The sequence below is a fragment of the Homo sapiens genome, chromosome 16 (assembly GCF_000001405.40).
Source record: "Homo sapiens chromosome 16, GRCh38.p14 Primary Assembly".
Taxonomy (NCBI): domain Eukaryota; kingdom Metazoa; phylum Chordata; class Mammalia; order Primates; family Hominidae; genus Homo; species Homo sapiens.
The window spans coordinates 20,220,421-20,238,457 of record NC_000016.10 but is presented as its reverse complement, the minus strand read 5'-3'; the positions used below and the strand labels follow the sequence as shown (position 1 = coordinate 20,238,457).

The following is an 18,037-nucleotide window of genomic DNA, read 5'->3' as shown; positions in this document are numbered from 1 at the left end:
GGGTGGATGGATGAATGGAAGGGTGGAAGGATAGAAGAATAGAAAGACAGAAGAATAAATGGACTGAAGGATGAAAATATGGAGGGATTCTCCTGAGTTGCATTCACTCCCTCTGTCTTACCTAGGTTTACCTAGCAAGGGTTCTGTCCCTGGACACCTACCTGAGACATTTGCTGAGAACACAGCAAATCCTATGGACACTTCCATTTCCTAGCTGTTAGTTTCCTTTTCCTCCATCTGTTCAAACCCAGTTCATCTCTGAACAGGTCTCTCTTGGTAACCAGCTTCCAGGGAACTGACCACTTCTGTCTTCTTCCAGAAGCTCAGGTTTTTCGATGACCAGGGACCAAATTTTGAATCTTAAGAACGAACATTCACTAGGCACTTACTGTATGCTAATTGTATAATTCTGTCATTTAATCTTCACAACACACTTACACGGTAGGTACTGTAATCCTCTCCATTCTGAAGATGAAGAAATAGAGTCACAGAGATCTCACATAATTTACTCAAAGTTGCAAAACTACAGAGTGGTACATCCCAGGATTGCTGAGGCAATCAGAACCCGAGGTGTGCACACATAATGACTACACTATACTTTTTCTCTCTTTAGCTACCTCAACTGGTAGCTCCATTCCCCGTATTTGGATGGAAAATCTATTATCAGTCCATGAGGACTAGAGTCACATTATCTGTTAAGCCCTTACCTATGGCATTTCTCATGCACCTACCAATTTATACTGAACAATAGTCATGATGAACAGCCACTAAGTGCAAGTTACAAAAGTTTCACCATTATGAAACCATAACCCTATATGCCACAAAGGCACCTCCCACATTGATTAAAGGGCCACTGGCATTTTGAGAAAAACAGTCCTATCAGTGACATAGCCTAGTTGGAACAAAAGATCCACAGAATTGTGATGAATGAGACTGTGGGCAAGCACCCATCTAATTTGGTTGAAAATATACCACAGTGGTTTCAGAATCTGGCCAACCTGGATTCTGGCTCCAGCTCTGTCATTTGGTTAAGATATGTGATGTCAGCCAGTACTTGACATCTCTGAGCCTCAATTTTCTTATATGCAAAATGGGGGGAATAATAGCAGCTTGTATGAATAGATGTAAGAATGAATGAGATAACCCGTACAAAGGGCTTAGTACAATCAGAAATACACAATTGATCATTATCATGGTGTGGTTGTTATATCCAGACCGCTGGAGCAACTATGTTTCTCTCCATCTCTCTCTCTCTCTGTCCCCCTCTGTGTGTATGTGTGTGTGTTCAAACAAAGCAAAAAATCAAATTCAGCACACTTCGACCAAAGGTCCAATCCTCTTTCCTCTGTTTGTTTGTTTTTCCTTTTCCAGAAGCTTCCCAAAGTCCTCCTGCCAGAGAATCAGTTGGGTGAACTCCTCCTCTGGCTTGATTAACTTCCCCTTGTTAACTGACCGGGTTCAATGCAATTTAATTTCATTGAGAGGAAGTGGTTCAGAAATCAGGGTCATTTAATTTCTGAAAGGCGAGTGAAATGTTGCCTTTCCCAAGTGATCTTTCTGCCATTTGTTCCCGTTAAAATGAAAAGTACAGTGGTTAATACAATGGCTTCAAGGTTATGTTAGATCACCTTTGCAAGTAAGAGAAGAATTCTTTCTACAAGATTTTAATTAGGTCAAGTACAACTAATTCATCCTTTGGCACTTATTCCATTTCCTTTTCTTCTGTAATTACTGCCAGTGTAACGCTCCTCACACACACAAATGGAGCTGAAGAAAGCCCTGCGATTATCCTTTATTTCTCCTTCATGCAAGAAAGGAGGGGGTTATCTACTGCATTCAGCCTTTGTAAATCTGGGGACTATAGTCCTAATAGCCTTACTCACATGAGTGCCAACCTCCCTGTAGGAGTGAGGGGGTTCCTAATTTGATCCCAACACCACAACACACACATCTCCCCTTTACCTTATCTACAGAAGGTGACTAGGCATCAAGACAAAGGAAGTCAACTCAGGTACATGTTGTCAATCAATAAACCTGTATTGAGCGCCTACCAAGGGCTCAGTAGGGTGTTAGGTGCATGGGAGTGGGGTTGCAAAAGACTTAAAGGAGCTTAGTCAGGTTTGGCGAGACAGATAATTAGCAGGTAAAATAAATCAGCAGTACTCAGCTTGGTTCTAGAAGAGCGAAGGCACTGTGTGTGGTGGAGGACATGAAGGAGGTGGGGGAGGCAACTGAACGCTTCAAGGAGGAGGTAAGCCTTGAGTTGACCTTGGAAGCACCAGTAGGATGCAGATCTCTCGCTCTTTTAAAAATACGTATTTATTGAGTGCCTAATATGTGCTGGGCATTGTCTAAGTATTTTATATGCCATATTTCATTTACTCCTTTCTTCGATCCTGACAGGCAGGTGCTGTCTTTGCCCCCACGTTACAGATGAGAAAACTAAGACTCTGAGATGTAAAGCAGTGAAATGTTCAAGAACATATGACACTGGCAAAGCTTGGATTCAAACCCAGGTTTTTTTTCCTTTTCTTTCTTTTTTTTTTTTTTTTTTTTTGGAGATGGAGTCTCGCTCACTCTGTCACCAAGTCTGGAGTGCAGTGGCACAATCTTGGCTCACTGCAACCTCCACCTCCCAGTTTCAAGTGATTCTCCTGCCTCAGTCTCCTGAGTAGCTGGGATTATAGGCACACACCACCACGCCCAGCTAACTTTTGTATTTTTAGTACAGACAAGGTTTCACCATGTTGGCCGGGCTAGTCTCGAACTCCTGACGTCAGGTAATCCGCCTGCCTTGGCCTCCCAAAGTGCTGAGATTACAGGCATGAACCACAGCACCCAGCCCCAAATCCAGGTTTTCATCATAGCACTTGTCACTGGCTGTAATTCTCTTGCTTTAATTGTGTATTTATGAGTCTTCTCCCTCTAATATGTGAACTCCAAGAGAGGAAGACTTTATCTGGCTTGATTACTGCAGACTACTCAACATCTGGATCCCTGACTGGCATAGGGTAGGTGATCAGCAAGTACTTGTGGAATAACAGACTGGATCGCATACTCCAAGAGCCAAGAGGAGAAGGATGCTATGCTATAAACTCCAACGAGTCAGTTTCCGTGGCTGTCTTGCACCCTGCAGTATCACTAGCACCCAGGACAATGTCCACAGTACATGACAGCTACTCAATCACTGTTGAATGAAGAAAGGAGAGAAAGAAAGATCACTGGAACAGAAGGACACTCACCAGTTTAGTAGAATGCAAATTCAGGTCAGCTAAACTATTATTCTTTGTCATTGATGGAGAAAGAAATTGTTACAGACTGAGCCAGAGATACTCACTGTCCTGAATCCATTCCCAAGAAGATCCAAATGCCTGGCAAGCCCGTGTTCCCGGTGATCCCCTCTGTGCTTGTCACTTCGGCCTCACTTAAAAGAGAAAGTGCCCTCAGGATCCTACAGATCTCACTGCCAGCTTGGATTCTCTTTTCATTAATTTGTGTTTTCCTAAGGAATATTTATTCATGTAGTCTGTGTTTGGGCAATTATTGAAATTATGTATAATTACGGGTGATAGTAAATAATAATAATCACCTAGCTGCAACATGCACTGTTTCTATTATGGATAGGAATTTTGTGCAATTTACTAAGAAACGTTCTAATGTAGGAGTGCTGATTAGAAAGGAGGGAGGGTGTTGTTATGAATGCTTGGTTATCAGTATTCTTATGTGACTGCTATGCAAGAAAGTCCTATATCCTGTTTATCCAGCCTTGGAACTGTACTCTTTGAATATTATTACCATTACTACTATTAATAATAGCTACTCAATCCACCACTTACAATGTGCCAGATCCACTTTAAATCCAAATTAAAATTCAGTGCAAGCTTGAGTGCCTTCAGAGACCAAGCAAACTTGGAAAATGACTTAAGCAGACTGGGCTGGGGATCAATAGGGAGAAGTGGGGTCTGTGGTGAATGGCAGGTTGCATTCCTCATCTACAGGAGACAGCTGCCCCTCAGCTAAAGCCAAATATTGCTGTGAGAAGATGAGGGGATGGTGCTGCCATTTCTGATCTTTTTTCAGAAGTCAGAAATATGGATTTTAATGTGAAATTCCCAGAGTTTTAACTGCTGTCTGCCGACAGTCTGTGTGCTGCCTGTGTGCAAGCCTCCATCTCGCATCCTCTATCAAAAGCCTCTAGGGAAAACTGGTCCGTGAGCAGGGGCTGTGTTTACTTTGTTGATTGTGGGCCGGGGCGGGGGGAAGGAAAAATTGCATGGAGCCATTGTAGAAGCTGTAAGAGCCCATTTCTCATTTTTATTTAAAATTTCATGGAGGTAATTTCAGAGAACAATGAAATATCATCGGAAGTCTGGCTGGAGAGGAGAGACACGTGAAGGAGAATGATAGAATGACTGGCGGCACTAATAAGGAGGGCTAGGATAGACCAGCCAGAGTCATGAAGAAAATCATCCTCTTCCCCCAGTCCCCAGCTTGATGGGAAGGGGGCTACATGCCCCTGGAGATCTGCAAAGAGGGTGCCAGGCTGCCCAAGCCAGAAGCCCCAGATGTCTCCATGCTAGAGTGCAGTGGGGTGATTCTAGCTCACTGCAGCCTCAAATTTCTGGGCTCAAGTGAACCTCCCACCTTGGCATCCCTGGTAGCTAAGACAACACACGTGTACCACCCCTCTAGGCTGACATTTTTATTTTTATTTTTGTAGAGACAGGGGTCTCGCTATGTTGCCCAGGCTGGTCTCAAACGCCTGGGCACAAGCAATCCTTCTGCCTCAGCCTCCCAAAATTCTGGGATTACAGGCATGAGCCACCACACCTGGCCAAACCTGACTTCTATGTGACAGGGTGAAGAAGGCTTATGTTCTTCTCATATCAATTTAATTATCATAACTCAGGGAAGTCTTATGGCCAAGTTCCAACATCTTGATATTCCCTCCCCATAATACCCTAAACTTCCCCCGTGTAACATTCATCACACATATCTCTTATCTCTTTACGTCAGAACCACTTTCCTTCATGAATATGAGTGCAGGAATTTCATCTGTCTTGTTCACCACTGTCTCCTAGCACCCACAGTGCTTGGCACATAGTAGGGGCTCGATAAATATTGACTTGTGAAGGAACAAGTGAATGAAGAGTCCTTTGACCTTAGGCATGGGTTATTTAATCACAGAATGCCTCGCCTGTGAAACAGGGGTAACAGTAGTACCTCTAAGAATTGCTATCTTCTTTGTGCTACGACCCACAGAAAATTTGTACTCTGTATTTCATCTGTTCTCCACAATATGCATAAGAAGTTGGGAGTATTTTTTATCCCAACATTATATAGTTGGGCTTAGAGTAGTTAAATGACTTGCCCAAGGTCACACAGCCTGGACGTGACACAACGGAGAGATTCCAACCCAGGTCTGTCTGAGTCTTTATCTCCTTCCCCACAGGAGTTTAGAGAGGGAGAAAAGCCATTCTATCAGACCGGTGGAAATCAAAGTAAGCTTCATAAAGGAGATGCATTTATCCTGGGTTTTAAGGATGGATGAGAATATGGGAGGCAGAGGAAGCAGAGAAAGCATTCTAGGTGGAAGGAATAACTCAGGCAAAAGCTCAGAAATAGCAGGAAACGGCAGATTGATTCAAGGAATGGCTTGTGAATCATTTAAGATAAAGGGGTGGGGAGGTCCTGAGAAAGGCTGAATTCATATCATAAAAATGAGTTCACTCATCCTCTCAACAGTTATGAACTGAGTGCCTGCCAGGTGAGGAAGACATCGACCAAAGCATCCTCATGTCCTGTCCTCAGGAAGCATACTGTCCAGTGCTCTGCCACACTGACTCTTTGCTGCAAGGACCACATGAAGAAGTAGGAAAGAAATTACTTTGAAAAGCTCAACTGTGCTATTTCAATACTCTCCTCTGTTCTGCTCTATCTGTTAGACTCTTCATAGTAATTAAGTAAAAGCTCCAGTTCAAATTGACATGGCTTTTACAGAAGGAGAATTCATTGACTCAGGTAAGAGAAAAATTGGAGAGCTGTCTGGCCTTGTTGGTTCCAGAATTTTTCCAAGTCATCAAGATAGGACAAACAACAACTCTCCAGCCCTCCTGTGTGTGTAGTTTCACTCTCCCACAGACTGTTGTCTTTCAACAGCCCCAGATCTCACACCTTCTCAGCTCCACATCACACTGAGATAAAAGCTTCTCTTCCCCAACAGTTGAACTTGAGTTCAGTTTTCATTGGCCAGAAAGTGTCCGTGCACTCATCTTAGAACCAATCCCTACACCCACAAGAATAGGATAAGGATAGGATAAGCTAAATGACTTAAACTAATCAGGACCCTCCCTTCTCTGGCCTGGCCAAGCAAAAATATGTAAGCAAAGAGTTAAAGAAAAGTGGTTCTTCAAATGCAATTCCAGAAATAATTTTGCTAGGAAAACAGTAAGTTCTGAAAAAAAAAATTACAGCAGTCCACTCTTACCAACGTGAGCTTTGTGATCTTAAGACAACTCACATTATTAAAAATCACATTATAATTACATACAATAGTTTCAGGGGAGGCAGAGGTTGCAGTGAGCCAAGATTGTGCCACTGCACTCCAGCCTGGGTGACAGAGTGAGACCCTGTCTCAAAAAAATAAACAAACAAATAAAATTATTTCAGGGAACTGAAGAATATCAGATTTGCAAAGCCAAAATTGTGAGTGGTTTTGGCAAAAATTTCAATCACAAGGTTTTCTTTTTTTAAAGTATATGTGTTTATTTTGTCATTGCAAGCTATAAAATTAACAAAAATGAACCTAGACCTCACTGAGCAAATCCTTAACAGCACTTAGGATTAGATCCAAATAAACGAGCGTTGAGAGTGGTGGCTGTCAACCCTGGCTGCACATTAAATCTCCAGGAGAGCTCTTTAACATGCTGATGCTCAGGCCTCAACCAGAGTGATTCTGATTTAATTTGTTTGGAGTGTGATCTGGATGTGGGTATTAAAAAAATAAAAAAAAGAAAGAAAGAAAGAAAAGAAAAAACAGTGGTTCTTAACTTTGGCTGCAATTAGAATCACCTGGAGACTTTTTTAAAAATTCCAAAGTCCAGGCTACAGTGCAAACCAGTTGCATCAGAATTCATGGAGGTAAGACCCAGGCATCAGTATATGTCGAAGCTTCCTTGAGCAGCACAATTAGCGGCAACCAAAGGGAAGCAAAACAACATGGCCGGGTGCGGTGGCTCTCGCCTGTAATCCCAGCACTTTGGGAGGCCGAGGCGGATGGATCACAAGGTCAGGAGATCGAGACCATCCTGGCTAACAAGGTGAAACCCCGTCTCTACTAAAAATACAAAAAGAAATCAGCCAGGCGTGGTGGCGGGCGCCTGTAGTCCCAGCTACTCGGGAGGCTGAGGCAGGAGAATGGCGTGAACCCGGGAGGCGGAGCTTGCAGTGAGCAGAGATCGCGCCACTGCACTCCAGCCTGGGCGACAGAGCGAGACTCCATGTCAAAAAAAAAAAAAAAAAACTTGTCCCTAGCAGCCAGACAACAGCTCCCTAAGGCAGCTGGGTGTTCCTCTGCAATGTGTGAGGTAACTTTTCTTCTCATAGCCACATTTTTGTTCCCAGTTTTATTTCCATTGTATGCAATCGATGTTTGAGTTAAGTAAGCCATGTCCATTAACTGAATTGATGGCATCAAAACCATGTTCCATTATAAAAACTTGTGCCATAAAAGAAGTGGCCTGAGCCAGAGTTGATTTTCATGGGTGACACATGAGATACCACGAGCCACCAGCATTGTCAATGAACCTAGGTAAGGATTTATATCAAGAGCTAGTATTTAATAAGGGCTTAGCTTGTGCCAAACATGGTTCTAAGCAGTTGACATACATGTGACTTATTTAATCTTCAGAACAACCATATGTGTTGCCATTATCCACATGTTACTGATTAGGAAACCTAGGCACAGAGGAGTTTAGTGACTGGCCCAAGATCCCATGGTGACTAAATGGGGTGAGTAAATATTTAAACAGCTTAGCTCCAAAGCCTGCACACTTAACCTCTACATTGTAGGAGGCTGGCCAGAAGTGAAAAGAAATGTTCAATGCATCTCACTTTACTGACCTCCTAGAGTGGGTACATACACAGCTTGAAGGAACTTTCCTCTGTGTTATTAGAGACAGTGGCTGGTGGCCTCTGGGCTGGTAACCTTTCAGACTAGGTCCACAGGGTTCCTGCTTTCATCCACTGGTTCAAATGATTTGGTGAAGGTTAAAAGATGTTCCGAGGGAGGAGGAGTGAGACAGAGGGGATGGATATTCACCACTCTCATGCACCAAAGTCTATGTTCAAGAATATTCTCTCTTCACCTCTCTGTCTGGTCAACTGCAACTTAATCTTCAAGACATAGCTCAAGATAACCAGCTCCTCTGAGAAACTTCTCACCTTCTTTCCCAAATGAAGTGTAGAGAAAACAATTCTTAAATTAAAAGTTGAGATTCTTAGGGAAGTGGGATGTATTTGTTTAGCAAAGCCACCTTGAGGAGCAATTTTGGTTGTGGAAGGATGATCCTGAATGTTTGGAAGGCTCAGGAGACATAGATGGAAAACTGAATATCTCTGCATAACAATGCAGGAAGAATTTGGAAGCTGCTTGGTAAGTGAGGTAGTGAGGATGTGTGGAGATTCTTGGAGGTGAGGGATAATATCATAACTATAGGTGAGGAAATTTGAGGAGTAATGTTAGTCAATGCCTTTCATCCCCATATCCTGGCAGGTCTGGCAGAAGAATCTTAGAATAAAAATACCTACTAGTTCATCTGAAGCCATTGTATGTGCTACAATTTAACCTCTTTTATTACCTCTACCCACAAAAATAAATATATTCAATAGACCTTGACTTGGCTGACTGGCATTTGGAGAGACAAGATAAAGTAGCTTTGTTGCTTCTTTTTTTTTTTTTCTTTTTGGAGACAGAGTCTCACTCTGTCACCCAGGCTGGAGTGCAGTGGCACAATCTCAGTTCACTGCAACCTCCGCGTCCCAGGTTCAAGCGATTCTCATGCCTCAGCCTCCCAAGGAGCTGGGACTACAGGTGTGCACCACCATGTCCAGTAAATTTTTGTATTTTTAGTAGAGAACAGGTTTCGCCATGTTGGCCAGGCTGTCTAAAGCTCCTGGCCTCAAGTGATCCGCCCACCTCGGCCTCCCAAGGTGCTGGGATTATAAGCATGAGCCACCATGCCAGGCTGTTGGATGTTTTGAATGATGGAGAGAAGAGAGAAGAGCACATCACAGAAAACAAGAGACAAATACACTTAACAGTAATGGAAATGAGAGCTGTAGATATGAACATAAGCCACCATAGGATTTAAGAAAATCGTGAGGAAGTCTTAGTTCAATAGCATGAGATACAGTTGGGGATATAAGCAGATGTTATTTCATTCTTCAAAGGCAAGGCAACTCCAGCCATTCTTTGAGTGACACAATGTTTCTTTTAATGATGGTTTCTCAAAGGCACTAACCTCTCCTGTGCACGTTTGCAGCATTTTATAGAAAGCCTTAACAAGAAATTTTTTTAATAGTCTTAATTTTGGCCATTCTGAACCATTTTAAATTCCCCAAATGCTTCACATTTTTATTCTCTTACAGACTTTTGTACATGTTTTTCCTTTTGCCTGAAACACGCTTGCCCATCATCTTTGTCCATTTTAATTTCTGCTAGTCTGTCAGATCTTAGCCTTAGCAGTTACTTCTTCTGACATATTAGTGAGGATGCTTTAGATTGCTAGTAAAAATAAAATCCAACTCAAAATGGCATAAAAATAGGTATTTTCTATTGTAATAGAAACTTTTTATAATTTCAATTTTTTATTTTAGATTCAGGGGATACACGTGCAGGTTGGTTACATGGGTACATTACACAGTGCAGAGGTTTGGGGTATGAGTGGTCCCATCACTCAGATACTGAGCATAGTACCCAATAGGTAGTGTTTCAGCCCTTGTCCCCTCCCGCCCTTCCCCCAGTGTCTATTGTTGCCATCTTTATGTCCAGGAGCATCCAATGCTTACCTTCTACTTATAAGTGAGAACATGCCATATTTTGTTTTCTGCCTCTGCATTAATTTGCTTAGGACGATGGCCTCCAGCTGCATCCATGTTGCTGCAAAGGACATGATTTCATTCCTTTTTATGGCTGCATAATATTCCATGGTATAAAGGTACCACATTTTCTTTATCCAGTCCAACATTAATGGGCACATAGGTTGATTCCATGTCTTTGCTATTGTGAATAGTGCTGTGATGAATATACACATGCATGTATCTCTTTGGTAGAACAATTTATTTTCCTTTGGATACACGCCCACTAATGGGATTGCTGAGTAGAATGGTAATTCTGTTGTAAGTTCTTTGAGAAATCTTCTAATTGCTGAAGTGGCTGAACTCATTTGCATTCCCACCAACAGTATATAAGTGTTCTCTTTTCTGCGTAGCCTTGCCAACATCTGTTTTATATATATATAATTAGATATTTCTTATGTGCCACTTCTGATCTTCTCAGTGTGTTAGCTTCTTCATGCCGCTGGATCAGCAGCCAAGGAAAGGAGTTAGTTACAGCACTGATGAGGTTAGTCGATTCTGAGTACATAAAAGACTACGGATGCCACTGCAAAGCTGGGGCAGGAAGAATTCACTGGGGAATCTTTTGGTGTTTCCATGCCCTGTGAGCACAGAAATCTATTAGTTTCAGGAACTGTGGCCCCAACAAGGGCAAGGTAACAAGGGCTCAGTCTTCTCAGGCATGAAATTCCAGGTTCCCTGCATTCAGCCAGACATGCTCAAGTGCTGGTCGGTATGACAGAAACCTAGCATAGTAGCAGAGGTTGAAGAGGATGGATACGAATTATGAGCTCCTAACCTAGTTCAGTTTGTTTCACTAGGCTTCTTGCCTTGAGTCATCTCAGAGAGTTTTGCCAATGACCATCTTGATAGGGACTCTGTAATTGGATCAGACTTGTACTCTTCTTCTCAAGGAAGAAATAAGGGCATCTTGTTTTCCAAAGTAGAGGTAAAGAGAGGATCTGGTGATGCAATGGGTAGACTGTATCAGACACTGTATCATCCAACTCATTCTAGCCACCACTGAGATTCCATCAGAATTAGGCATAATCTGACTGTACCTCAATTTATCGCTCCACCCGCATCACATGTTTCTCATCTCCCTCCCAGGGTTTCCCTGGTAACACCAAGCTGTTGGACAGTATGGGAACTGAGTTGCTACCCATCCATGGAAAACCCAGAAATTTAGGCAATTAACAAACCATAGGCAAATCTTTGCTTAATGGGAGATGGAAGTTAATGGATAAATCATCCTCCTTTCTCCTATAATGCACTGACCCAAGATTCAGTTTATATCCATTCTTGGAGGACAGTCACACTAAGGAACAGTAAACTTAATAATGTTTTCTCATACTGGCTCTTTCCGCCTTCCCTGCTTCATTCTCTCTGTCTGTCATATATGTTCCCTAATATTGCACCCTTTAACAAGGGGATTATTTGTTCTTTGCCTCAGGATCTGCTTTTTTTTTTTTTGTAAACCAAAGATAATAGTAATGCATAACAAAAGGTACAGAGGTAGGAAATTCCAGAGTTCAGATGGATATGCGCTGTTTTTATCTTTCCAGTTTTCCTTCACATTTATCCTTTCAAAGTTGAACAAGGCAATAGTAACTCCAAGCGTCAGAACTTCAAACAAAATTGTTCAAATTCTGAAAAAGAAGAAGTGGGCATCCTTCCTAAGATAGAGGATAAGTCACTCAGAAACTCTCCAGACTTCTGAGAGACATCTGATATCTCATTGACCAGAACTGCACCCCATTCCCAAGCTGTCAAGAGGAATTAAATTTCTTAGTCCAATCATAATTCATCCCTTGGGACTGGAAATGATTCATCCTACCCTGAATCACATTCTTAAACAACAACAACAAAAAAGTTCTGTTATAAAGAAAGAAGTGAGGAATTAATAGGAACTGCTGGCACAGTTGGAGTCATTTTCAATACGCCTTCACCTTTTCCTGTTTTCCACTATGGAGACTAAACAAGCGAGATATTCACTTTCCAGCTTCCCTTGCAGCTAGGGGTTGCCACGTGATCGATTTCTAGACCTTTGCATGTAAGGGGAAGTTCTCTGGGGGCTTTTCCTTCTTGTTAAAAGGATAGTGACATAAGAGCATGCTGTCTCTCTTCCTAAGTATGAAAGACCAACAAGCTGATAAGGTGGAGTAAGAAGATGAAACAAACCTGACTCCTTAATTACATCCTTGAGCCACTGAAGTAGCCCTGGGATTGTTTTATGCTATATTTTTTAGTTACATTAGATAACTCTTTTTCTTATTTAGTCATTATTATTTAAGTATTACATTACGTGCAGCTAAAAGCCCTTGTAACTGATGGAGCAGCCAACAGTGTCAGCCATTTCCAGGAAGTACAGATGGTATTAGCTATCCCTTTCCTCTGACACCCAAGGCTTACTGTTATTATGGACATTATGGCTCTACATTTTCATTGCTTGGTTAAACAGAGAGTCCTCTGACGTATATATGTGCAGGCCAAGGCTGAGCACAGCCATGAAGATTGTGATGCAGGATTCCTGCACAGGGCAGTGGGCTGGACTACATGGTCCCCAAAGCCTCTTACAGCTTTGAAATATATAGCCCCAATTCTTTTAATATAAATGTCCCCTTTCCATGTATAAACATAAAAGAAGTTTTCTGACTCTTGACCTAGACGAGTTTGAATTTCCTGGAGTGGTTCAACATGGCAGCATGGGAGCCAGGACTTGAACATGAGTCCAGTTGAGCAGCATTTTCCTACCACGCAGGGTAGCTGTGAGAATTTTTGTCTTTTTAAATGTATGATGTCATGGCAAATCACCAATTTGTGATTCAAAATAGGGAAAAGCAATGCAAGCATGCAACTTGCGCAAATGTTCCTATTCTGTTTGTAACATGGGGAATTTCCAAGCTAAATTTTCACTTTGCAGATGACTTGGGGGTTATTTGCTATTCTGAGCAGGTCTGTCCTCATTCTCCTTCCACTGTATGAAGAATGCATATGGGAAAAAAAGTGACCGTGTGTAAATGTTTCTTTCATATTGAAATAATATTAATAAAGCATTTCCTGTGGTTATGGCTAATAAGTCACTTGTTTCCATTTTCTGTATGCAGTAAAGACACGTGGAAAAATTCTGATCAATACCCTGTTAAAAGAAGCTTAGAACCCAAAACGTTCTCACAGAGTATGGTATTTGTAGAGTTCATTACAGTCTGTACTAACGAAGGAATTTTCACTGGGGAAAAACAGAAAATGGAAAATTTAAAAGTTGACCAAACAGAAACCTTTAATAAGAAGCCAATGACACTTTAAATGTGTTATACCCCTTTTGTTTAGGAAATGTTCCCAATATTTTTGTCTCTCTTCTTTTAATGACTTCTTGGTGGCCAAGCAGAGAGGCTAGAAGAGAATGAAACTAGATATCCTCTAATTGTGTGCCAGGTACTCGGTAAGTCATGTCATAGTTATTATCTAAGTAATTTTTATTTTAAAAATGTTTTAAAAATTATATAAGTAATACATGCCCCCCGCAAAATTTTCAAACAATTCAGAGGCACAAAAATTAAAAAGTGAAAGCTCCCCTTCATCCCTAAGCCCAGTTCCGCTTGTTCCTTGGCAACAATCTCTATATTCTTTAATATATATCCATACTGATATATATTTTCTGAACATTGTCAGAAATACACATATTCTTAAATTAATATGCTAGCAAACTATGTTTTCACCTATTCTAGGATGCAACTTTTTAAAAATTTAAAATCTCGAAATAACGCTGCATTTTACAGTTAAAGGCATTATAAACCGTCCACTTTCTTCTTCTTATAGACATATAAAATAATGGTGCATCCTGCAATAAGTGGCATTTTAGAGTAACAAAATACAGTAGATATGGAGCTTACATTATTATATAGACGTATGATTGTGTGGATTGCTACAGACAGCTTTCAGCACACTTGGGTCTGCCTCATTCATTTTAACAGCTACATGATCTGTCATTGTATAACTGTAGCCTCGTTTATTTAGTCATATCCATTAGAGATGGACTTTTGGATTCTTTCTAGATTTTTCCCAGTAGAAATAATGCTGCAATGACCATTCTTGTCCCTGTATCTTTGGTCCCATGTGTAAACATTTGTGAAAGAGATTCCTATCTCATTAATTCTCATAGCTAACCTGTAGGGTAGAAATCAGTCAGTCACTCAGAGCTCAACTAGGTACATATTCAATTCATGGCTCCACGGCTGCCATGTTGAACAACTTAAGAGAGTTCAAACTGTCGTCTAGATCAGGAGTAGCGAACTTTTTTTCTGGAAAGAGCTAGATGGTCAATATTTCCATCTTTGTGGGCTATACTATCTCTGTTGCAACTACTCAACTCTGCTGCATAAAAGCAACCATAGACAAAAAAGTAATGAATGAAGTTGTTCCAATAAAACCTTATTACAGAAACAGGCTGGGGCTGAGTGCAGTGGCTCAGGCCTGTAATCCCAGCACTTTGGGAGGCCGAGGCGGAGGGATCACGAGGTCAGGAGATCAAGACCATCCTGGCTAACACGGTGAGACCTCGTCTCTACTAAAAATACAAAAAATTAGTTGGGCATGGTGGCACACGCCTGTAGTCCCAGCTACTCAGGAGACTGAGGCAGGAGAATCATTTGAATTCGGGAGGCGGAGGTTGTAGTGAGCAGAGATCATGGCACTGCACTCCAGCCTGGGTGACAGAGCAAGACTCCGTCTCAAAAAAAAAAAAAAAAAAAAAAAAAAAGGAAAGAAGCAGGTTGGATTTGTCCCATGGGCTGTAGTTTGCTGAGCCCTGTCTTAGGTTAAGAATCCTCCTGGGAGTTGAGAAGTGCACAACATGTATGGCCCTTTATAGTAGCCCTGTCTGGCTCTTTACCTTCACGGACACAACTTAGGATAAATTTCATAGTCCTTCCCAGCTTGAGTTTTCAACCATTAACTGTGAACTATAATATGCAATCATAAAATATTTCAAAAGTATGCGTTACTGAATTAAAGTGAACACATGAGTATATGTCCATGAATCCATTTCTCCTTCTGAGATTTATTAAGAAAATAAAGCTATGTTTGTGTTTATGAGAATTAATGAAATGCTACACATAGAGCATTTGCAAGGACTTAAAAAATGCTATTGCTCTTTAAAAAATTTTGTTTTCTCCTACTGATGAGGAAGTTCATAGCAATTAATCCACAAAGCCAGGAAGCCAACAAGGTCATTGTGACTCCATAACCTGTACCTCTCCGACAGCACCTGCTGCCTCAAAAGAAGGAGCTATTACCTAGAGAATCTGAACCCAGAGAAATTAAAAGAGTTTGATAAAGTCCCACCTTGTCAGCAGTGGACAGAATGGTAGGCTCTAGATCTTAGACTATCTAGCAAATTCACTGCCCACAAGAAAAGGCAGATTGTGTAAAATCCAGGCCTTTGGGCTTGCAGACATTCCCAATCAGTGGGTTTTCCTGTTATTTATGCCAATGCAATTAGAACACAGTTCCACCACCTAGATGGAAACGCAGCCACAGAGATGTTGATAAAGCTGTCACAGCAAGACGGAGATAGTAAGTCTCGTTAACATTAAGAAAAGAACAAACCCATAAATAAGAGATTATCAAGTGAAATAAGATAGTCTCTCTTCCAACTTCTAACAAATCTCATGTGCAAAGCCATGTAATTTCCCCAGGCATCCTCCTTGCCATCCAGATGTATAGAATATGAATTGTGCAGGGGAGGGAAATTGATATGCAGAAGAAAGTGTTGGCAAAATAATTAGAGCCGTGAGGCTTTCTCAGTCTTGTGTTTCATTGGAGAGGTCACCAATTGTGGAATTATGGCTTCCAGAGCACACTGATTATGTAACGGAGCAGTCCCTGAAAAGAGCCTGGAAAGGACAGACAGGTGGTGGGACTGTACCCATGAGGGTGAATGGCAGAGCCACTAAACAGCTAAGGGCCACTTCCCAGGGGGGTAAGAGCAGGTGCCACCCTCTTTGTAGCACTACCTGCCGAGTACAGTCATCTGCACCACTCTGCCCATGGAGGCAACCAGCTGTCTGCCTCCCCTCTCACTTTGTGGCTCAGTGATCCCTACCATTCCTTCTGGCAGTGGCCACACTCAAGGCCACCTGCAAGTTGAAGCTGATTGGAAAATAAAAGTTTATATCAAGTTGCTAAAACCTGACTAAGAGCCACTTGCAGAGAGTGACCCGCTGGGTCTGTATTCCCAGGGGGCCCTCAGCTCACCTGCTGGCTTACAGCAGGGAATCTAGAGATACTTATCAATTGGAATTGACTGGAGCCACCAACAAAACATCCATAATGGAATAGGAAAGAGAGAAAGGAAAGAGGAAAGAGGCAGGAGCAGGAGAAGGGAGGGGAGAAAAGTCAGAGGAAGGAGAAGGGCAAAGAAAGGCACAAAGATGCTTAAAATGTGCATGAACTTCAGCAAATAAGGATAGAGGAGGAGAAGAGAGAGGGAAGTCAGTGAGAAAGAAAAGCAAAGAGGTGGTGAACATGGGTGGGCCATGAACAGAGCAGACCTGCCAGAGAGATGGGAAAATACAGAGGGAAATGACAGAGAGAGGGGTGGGCTGACAGTAGGTATTGAGATAGGCAAAGAACAAGGCCACACATGACAGATACCCAGAAAGACAGATGGACACAGCAGTGATCAGACCCATCCATATGGACACAGGGACACGGAAACAGGAGATAATATAGCTGAAGCCCAAGGATAGACTCGGGGGACTAGAGAATTTCCCAGTCTCCCAAGGAAATCCACACGTTTCCAACTAATTCCTTGGTAGAGAAATGGAACAGGAAAAAAAAAAATGTCTTTCTGGAAGAAATGCCTCCTGAGATTCTGGGAACCTGTTGCTCGGAAGGTGGGAAATGTCCTGTGTCTCCTGGCTCCCTGCCAATTCTGCAATGAAGTGGAAGACTGGGGTTTGCGTCTGAATCCCAGCAAGCTTCGGGGGCTGGGGGAGGTTGTTCCTTTCTGGGCTCCAGGGTCCTTGTGTGGGAAGTTGTGAACCAGCAATGAACTCTACCTACCCTCACGGAATAATTGAAAAGATCAGCTTTTCAAAATAACCCCATGAAAGGTACATCACCCTCTGAGAACATCTAATGATGAAGGTGAGAAGTTAGTTTGATTTCCGTGAAGTCATATATTCATTGTCATTCTTCCCTTCCTCCCTCCTGCCTGCCCTTTCTCTCCCTCCTCTCTCCTCCTCCTCCACCCATTCTTCTCCCTCCTCCTCCACCCTTACTTTTCTTCTATTTCCAATCCACCCCTACCCCCACCACACATTCTCGTCTGATTTCTATCCCAAAGAGACCTGACTTCAGCCTTCAGGTCATGAAATATTCAATCCACTTGGACACTTTTTAATTAATCTTGGGTTTGATTTAGGTCATTGTGCTTTGACGCCTGCCTCCATAACCCTGTCCTGGATCCAATTAACCAGCTGTGAGCACTGCCCTGAAGACACAGACAAGAGCACCTACTCTCAGGGACCAGGGACCTGGTTTGCTGAGGCATCTGCAAACATTCTCTTTGCCATCCCCCTGTATTGCCAAGAAAAGGTAGCATGCGGGATAAGATCTGTCCTACAACAGAGTAGAAAGTGAATTTTAAAGGATGAGAAAAGAAAAATGCAAACCGAAAGCAACCGACAGCTCAGGCTGCAAATATCCAGATGATTAACAGGCTGGCCGGATCACAAATACAGATGTTTCATCAGAAGTCCATGATTGTCCTCACCTAACTGTTCTCATCATCCCCACCTCCCATATGGACTTAATTGTCAGAGGACTCATTTGCACTTGTTGACATTTTGCTCTGTTTTAAAAAATAGCTTTTTCATTGCTATTATTGTATTGTGCTAGTGGTTTTGTCTCATAGGTT

General features: G+C 42.1%; 1 long non-coding RNA gene across 1 annotated transcript; it reads left to right on the top strand.

Annotated features, from left to right (window-relative positions):
- Positions 1–5,940: 5,940 nt before the first annotated feature.
- LOC102723396 (uncharacterized) lies at positions 5,941–17,652 on the top strand. Its single transcript, XR_429682.3, has 3 exons — positions 5,941–6,021; positions 13,505–13,558; positions 17,543–17,652. It is a non-coding gene; the product is annotated as an uncharacterized LOC102723396 (long non-coding RNA).
- The last annotated feature ends 385 nt before the right edge of the window (positions 17,653–18,037 follow it).